This window comes from Homo sapiens, chromosome 10, assembly GCF_000001405.40.
Source record: "Homo sapiens chromosome 10, GRCh38.p14 Primary Assembly".
Lineage (NCBI taxonomy): Eukaryota > Metazoa > Chordata > Mammalia > Primates > Hominidae > Homo > Homo sapiens.
Genome location: NC_000010.11, coordinates 45,265,748 through 45,273,490, shown reverse-complemented (window position 1 = coordinate 45,273,490; position 7,743 = coordinate 45,265,748).

Genomic DNA, 7,743 nt, shown 5'->3' with positions numbered 1-7,743 from the left:
TAACCATTCATTCATGGAAGGATAGCTGGGTTGTTTCTAGTTTTTCATTATTACAAATAAAGCTTCTATAAACATTTGTGTTCAAGTTTTTGAGGGAACATATATTTTCATTTTTCTGGGATAAATAGGAAGACAATTGCTGGAGTCTATGGTAGTTGCAAGTCTGGTTTTTAAAGAAGCTGCCAAACTGTTTCTGGAGTAACTGTAATATTTTACATTCCTACCCCAAAATGTATGAGAGATCCATTTTCTCTGCATCCTTACCAGCAGTTGATATTGTCACAGTTTTTTATTTTATATCTGATTGTAATCTTAACTTTCATTTCTTAACGGCTAGAGATGTTGCACACCTTTTCTTGTGCTTATCTGACATCTGTATAGCTTCTCCCATGGAATGTCTCTTCATGTTTTTTTCTCATTTTCTAATTATATCATTTATTTATTTTTACTGTTTGGCTTTGAGAATTCTAATATATCCTAGATATGAGTCCTTTGTTAGAAATGTAGTTTCCATATATTTCCTCTTAGTCTGTAGCTTTTCTTTTAATTCTCACAGAGAAAAAGTTTTACATTTTGATGAAGTCCAATTTATGAGTTTTTCCTTTTATGTATCATGCTGTTTTGTAAGAACACTTTACCTGACCCTAAATCTTGAAGTTTTTTCTTTTTTTCTAAAAGTTTTACAATTTTATGTTGTACATTTAAGAACATAAACTATTTTTGAGTTAGCTTTTGTATAAAATATGAGACAGGTGAAGTTCTTTTTTGTGTATGTATGTGTGTATGTGTGTGTGTGTGTTTATGTGTGTGTGTGAGTGTGCCTATAAAAGTACAATTGCTCTAGCACCAATTTGGATGCCCTTTATATCTTTCTCTTGTCTGATTGCTCTAGCTAGGACTTTCAGTAATATGTTGAATAACGGTTGTGACAGTGGGCAGCCTTGTCTTGGTCTGCATCTTAGAAGACAAATTTTCAGTTTTTCCTCATTTAGTATGATACTACCCTGTGGGTGTCTGTTATTTATGGCTTTTATTATGTTAAGGTATATTCCTTATATAGACAGTTTTTTAAAGGGTTTTTATCATGAAGGATGTTAAAATTTTATCAAATCCTTTTCAGCATCAATTGACATGATCATATGTTTTTGTCCTCCATTCTGTTAATATGATGTGTCACATTAATTGATTTGCATATTTTGAACCATCCTTGTATCCCTGAGATAAATACTACTTCATCATGAGAAAAGATCTTTTTAATGTGCTGTTGAATTCAGTTTGCTAGTATTTTGTTGAGGATTTTTGCATCAATATTCATCAGACATATTGGCTGTACTTTTCTCTCTTTTTTTGATGCATTTTTGTCTGGTTTCATATCAAGGTAATACTGGCCTGGTAGAATGAGTGTGGAAGTATTCCTTCCTCCTCTATATTTTTTGAAATAGTTTGAATAGGATTGGTATTTGTTCTTCTTTAAATGTTTGGTAGAATTCGACTGTGAAGCCATCAGGTCCTGGGCTTCTCTTTTTTATATTTATTTATTTATTTATTTTATTATACTTTAAGTTCTAGGATACATGTGCACAACGTGCAGGTTTGTTACATAGGTATACATGTGCCATGTTGGTTTGCTGCACCCATCAACTCGTCATTTACATTAGGTATTTCTCCTAATGCTATCCCTCCCCCAGCCCACCACCCCTTGACTGGCCCCAGTGTGTGATTTTCCCTGCCCTGTGTCCATGTGTTCTCATTGTTCAACTCCCACCTATGAGTGAGTACATGTGGTGTTTGGTTTTCTGTCCTTGTGACAATATGCTTAGAATGATAGTTTCCAGCTTCATCCATGTCCCTGCAAAGGACATGAACTCATCCTTTTCTATGGCTGCATACTATTCCATAGTGTATATGTGCCACATTTGCTTTATCCACTCTATCATTGATTGGCATTTGGGTTGGTTCCAAGTCTTTGCTATTGTGTATAGTGCCACAATAAACATACATGTGCATGTGTCTTTATAGTTGCATGATTTATAATCCTTTGGGTATATACCCAGTAATGGGATTGCTAGGTCAAATGGTATTTCTAGTTCTAGATCCTTGAGGAATCACCACACTGTCTTCCACAATGGTTGAACTAGTTTACACACCCACCAACATTGTAAAGGCATTCCTATTTCTCCACATCCTGTCCAGCATCTGTTGTTTGCTCACTTTTTAATGATTGCCATTCTAATTGGCCTGAGATGGTATCTCATTGTGGTTTTGATTTGCATTTCTCTGATGACCAGTGATGATAAGCACTTTTTTCATACGTCTGCTGGCTGCATAAATATCTTCTCCTGAGAAGTGTCTGTTCATATTCTTTGCCCACTTTTTGATGGGGTTGTTTTTTTCTTGTAAATTTAAGTTCTCTGTAGATTCTGGATATTAGCCCTTTGTCAGATGAGTAGATTGCAAAGATTTTCTCCCATTCTGTAAGTTGCCTGTTCACTCTGATGGTAGTTTCTTTTGCTGTGCAGAAGCTCTTTAGTTTGGTTAGATCCCATTCATCTATTTTGGCTTTTGTTCCCATTGCTTTTGGTGTTTTAGTCATGAAGTCTTTGCCCATGCCTATGTCCTGAATGGTATTGCCTAGGTTTTCTTCTAGGGTTTTTACAGTGTTAAGTCTTAAAGTTAAGTCTTTAATCTATCTTGAGTTAATTTTTGTATATGGTGTAAAGAAAGCATTGAGTTCCAGCTTTCTACATATGGCTAGCCAGTTTTCCCAGCACCATTTACTAAATAGGAAATCCTTTCCCCATTTCTTGTTTTTGTCAGGTTTGTCAAAGATCAGATGGTTGTAGATGTGTGGTGTTATTTCTGAGGCCTCTGTTCTGTTCCATTGGTCTATATATCTGTTTTTCTACCGGTACCATGCTGTTTTGGTTACTGTAGCCTTGTAGTATAGTTTGAAGTCAGGTAGCGTGATGCCTCCAGCTTTGTTCTTTTTGATTAGGATTGTCTTGGCTATGTGGGTTCTTTTTTGGTTCCATATGAACTTTTAAGTGTTTTTTTTTTTTCCAATTCTGTGAAGAAAGTCTGTGGTAGCTTGATGGGGATAGCACTGAATCTATAAATTACCTTGGGCAGTATGGCCATTTTTATGATATTGATTCTTCCTACCCATGAGCATGGAGTGTTCTTCCATTTGTTTGTGTCCTCTTTTATTTCATTGAGCAGTGATTTGTAGTTCTCCTTGAAGAGGTCCTTCACATCCCTTGTAAGTTGGAATCCTAGGTATTTTATTCTCTTTGTAGTAAATGTGAATGGGAGTTCACTCATGATTTCGCTCTCTGTTTGTCTATTATTGGTGTATAGGAATGCTTGTGATTTGTGCACATTGATTTTGTATCCTGAGACTTTGCTGAAGTTGCTTATCAGCTTAAGGAGATTTTGGGCTGAGATGATGGGGTTTTCTAAATATACAATCATGTCATCTGCAAATGGACAATTTGACTTCCTCTTTTCCTAGTTGAATACCCTTTATTTCTTTCTGTTGCCTGATTGCCCTGGCCAGAACTTCCAACACTATGTTGAATAGGAGTGGTGAGAGAGGGCATCTTTGTCTTGTGCTAGTTTTCAAAGGGAATGCTTCCAGTTTTTGCCCATTCTGTATGATATTGGCTGTGGGTTTGTGATAAATAGCTCTTATTATTTTGAGATATGTTCCATCAATACCTAGTTTATTGAGAGTTTTTAGCATGAATGGCTGTTGAATTTTGTCAAAGCCCTTTTCTGCATCTATTGAGAAAATCATGTGGTTTTTGTCATTGTTCTGTTTATGTGATGGATTATGTTTATTGATTTGCATATGTTGAACCAGCCTTGCATCCCAGGGATGAAGCTGACTTGATCATGGTGAACAAGCTTTTTGATGTGCTGCTGGATTTGGTTTGCCAGTATTTTATTGAGGATTTTTGCATTGATGTTCATCAACATATTGGCCTAAAATTTTCTTTTTTTGTTGTGTCTCTACTAGGCTTTGGTATTAGGATGATACTAGCCTCATAAAATGAGTTAGGGAGGATATCTTCTTTTTCTATTGATTGAAATAGTTTCAGAAGTAATGGTAGCAGCTCCTCTTTGTACCTCTGGTAGAATTCAGCTGTGAATCCATCTGGTCCTAGACTTTTTTTGGTTTGTAGGCTATTAATGATTGCCTCAATTTCAGAACCTGTTATTGGTTTATTGTGAGATTCAACTTATCTCTGATTTAGTCCTGGGAGGATGTGTGTGTCCAGGAATTTATCCATTTCTTCTAGATTTTCTAGTTTATTTGCATAGAGATGTTTATAGTATTCTGTAATGGTAGTTTGTATTTCTGTGGGATCTGTGGTGATATCCCCTTTATCATTTTTTATTGCATCTATTTGATTCGTCTTTCTTTTCTTCTTTATTAGTCTTGCTAGTGGTCTATCAACTTTGTTGGTCTTTTCAAAGAACAGCTCCTGGATTTGTTCATTTTTTGAAGGTTTTTTTGTGTATCCTTCAGTTCTTCTCTGATCTTAGTTATTTCTTGCCTTCTGCTAGCTTTTGAGGTTGTTTGCTCTTTCTTCTCTAGTTCTTTTAATTGTGATGCTAGGGTGTTGATTTTAGATCTTTCCTACTTTCTCTTGTGGGTATTTAGTGCTATAAATTTCCCTCTACACAGTGCTTTAAATGTGTCCCAGAGATTCTGGTGCATTGTGTCCTTGTTCTCATTGGTTTCAAAGAACATTTTAATTTCCTCCTTCATTTCCTTACTTACCCAGTAGTCATTCAGGAGCAGGTTGTTCAGTTTCCATGTAGTTGTGTGGTTCTGAGTGAGTTTATTAATCTTGAGTTCTAATTTGATTGCACTGTGGTCTGGGAGACAGTTTGCTGTGATTTCTGTTCTTTTACATTCGCTGATGATTGTTTTACTAGCAATTATGTGGTCAATTTTAGAATAAGTGTGATGTGCTGCTGAGAAAAATGTATATTCTGTTGATCTAGGGTGTAGAGTTCTGTAGATTTCTGTTCGGTCTGCTTGGTTCAGAGTTGAGTTCAAGTCCTGGATATCCTTGTTAACCTTCTGTTTCATTGATCTGTCTAATATTGACAGTGGGGTGTTAAAGTCTCCCATTATTATTGTTTGGGAGTCTAAGTCTCTTTGTAGGTCTCTAAGGACTTGCTTTATGAATCTGGATGCTCCTGTATTGGGTGCATATATATTTAGGATAGTTAGCTCTTCTTGTTGAATTGATCCCTTTACCATTATGTAGTGGCCTTCTTTGTCTCTTTTGATCTTTGTTGGTTTAAAGTCTGTTTTATCAGAGACTAAGATTGCAAACCCTGCTTTTTTTCACTTTCCATTTGCTTGGTAGATCTCCCCCCATCCCTTTATTTCGAGACTATGTGCATCTTTGCACTTGAGATGTGTCTAATGAATACAGCACACTGATGGGTCTTGACTCTTTATCCAATTTGCCAGTCTGTGTCTTTTAATTGGGGCATTTGGCCCATTTACATTTATGGTTAGTATTGTTATGTTTGAATTTGATCCTGTTATTATGATGTTAGCTGGTGATTTTGCCCATTAATTGATGCAGTTTCTTCATAGCATTGATGGTCTTTACCATTTGGCATGTTTTTGCAGTGGCTGGTACCGGTTGTTCCTTTCCATGTTTAGTGCTTCCTTCAGGAGCTCTTGTAAGGCAGGCCTGGTAGCGACAAAATCTCTCAGCATTTGCTTGTCTGTAAAGGATTTTATTTCTCCTTCACTTACGAAGCTTAGTTTGGCTGGATATGAGATTCTGGGTTGAAATTTCTTTCCCTTAAGAATGTTGAATATTGCCCACCACTCTCTTCCTGCTTGTAGGGTTTCTGCTGAGAGATCCACTGTTAGTCTGAGGGGCTTCCCTTTGTGGGTAACCCGACCTTTCTCTCTGGCTGCCCTTAACATTTTTTCCTTCATTTCAACCTTGGTGAATCTGACAATTACATGTCTTGGGGTTGCTGTTCTCGAGGAATATCTTAGAGGAGTTCTCTGTATTTCCTGAATTTGAATGTTGGCCTGCCTTGCTATGTTGTGGAAGTTCTCCTGGATAATATTCTGAAGAGTGTTTTCTAACTTGGTTCCATTCTCCCCGTCACTTTCAGGTACACCAATCAAACATATGTTTGGTCTTTTCACATAGTCCCATATTTCTTGGAGGCTTTGATCATTTCTTTTCACTCTTTTTTCTCTAAGCTTGTCTTCTAGCTTTATTTTATTAATTTGATCTTCCATCACTGATGTCCTCTCTTCCACTTGATGGAATCAACTATTGAAGCTTGTGCATGCATCATGAAATTCTCCTGCCATAGTTTTCAGCTCCATCAGGTCATTTAAGGTCTTCTCTACACTGTTTATTCTGGTTAGCCATTCATCTAACCTTTTTTAAGGTTTTTAGCTTCCTTGCATTGGGTTAGAACATGCTCCTTTAGCTTGGAGAAGTTTCTTATTACTGACCTTCTGAAGCCTATTTCTGTCAATTCATCAAACTCATTCTTCATCCAGTTTTGTTTCCTTGCTGGTGAGGAGCTGTGATCCTTTTGGGGAGAAGAGGCACTCTGTTTTTGGGAATTTTCAGCTTTTCTGCTCTAGTTTCTCCCCATCTTTGTGGTTTTATCTACCTTTGGTCTTTGATGTTGGTGACCTACAGATGGGGTTTTGGTGTGGATGTCCTTTTTGTTGATGTTGATGTTATTCCTTTCTGTTTGTTAGTTTTCCTTCTGACAGTCAGACCTCTCAGCTGCAGGTCTATTGGAGTTTGCTGGAGGTCCACTCCAGACCCTGTTTGCATGGGTACTATGATTGGAGGCTGCAGAACAGCAAATATTGCTGCATGATCCTTCCTCTGGAAGCTTCATCCCAGAAGGGTACCCACCTGTTTGAGTTGTCTGTTGGCCACCACTGGGAGGTGTTTTCCAGTCAGGCTACACGGGGGTCAGGGACCCACTTGAGTAGTCAGTCTGTCTGTTTTTGGAGCTCAAACGCCATGCTGAGAGAACCACTGCTCTCTTCAGAGCCATCAGACAGGGACGTTTAAGTCTGCAGAAGCTGTCTGCTGCCTTTTGTTCTACTATGCCCTGCCCCCAGAGGTGGAATCTATAGAAGCAGTAGGCTTTGCTGAGCTGAGGTGGACCCCACCCAGTTCATGCTTCCTGGCCTCTCCTGGCCCCTTTGTTTACACTGTGAGGTACTTAAGCCTCAGCAATGGCTGACTCCCCTCTGCCCGCCAATCTGCAGCATCTCAGGTTGATCTCAGACTGCTGCACTAGCAGTGAGCAAGGCTCCATGCGCATTTGCCCTGCCAAGCCAGGCACAGGCGGGTAACTCCTGGTCTGCCGGTTGCTAAGACTGTGGGAAAAGTGCAGTATTTTGTCAGGTGTGTACCATTTCTCCAGGTGCAGTCCATCATGGCTTCCCTTGGCTAGGAAAGAGAAATCCCCCACCCGTTGGACTTCCTGGGTGAGGTGACACCCTGCCCTGCTTCAGCTTATTCTCTGTGGGCTGCACCCACTGTCCAACAAGTCCCAATGAGATGAATCAGGTACCTCAGTTGGAAATGCAGAAATCACCTGTCTTCTGCATTGATCTCACTGGGAGCTGCAGACTGGAACTGTTCCTATTTGGCCATCTTGGAAGCAACCTCCTGATCTTTTTATATTGTGTATCCCTTAACAAATTATTGGAGCTGT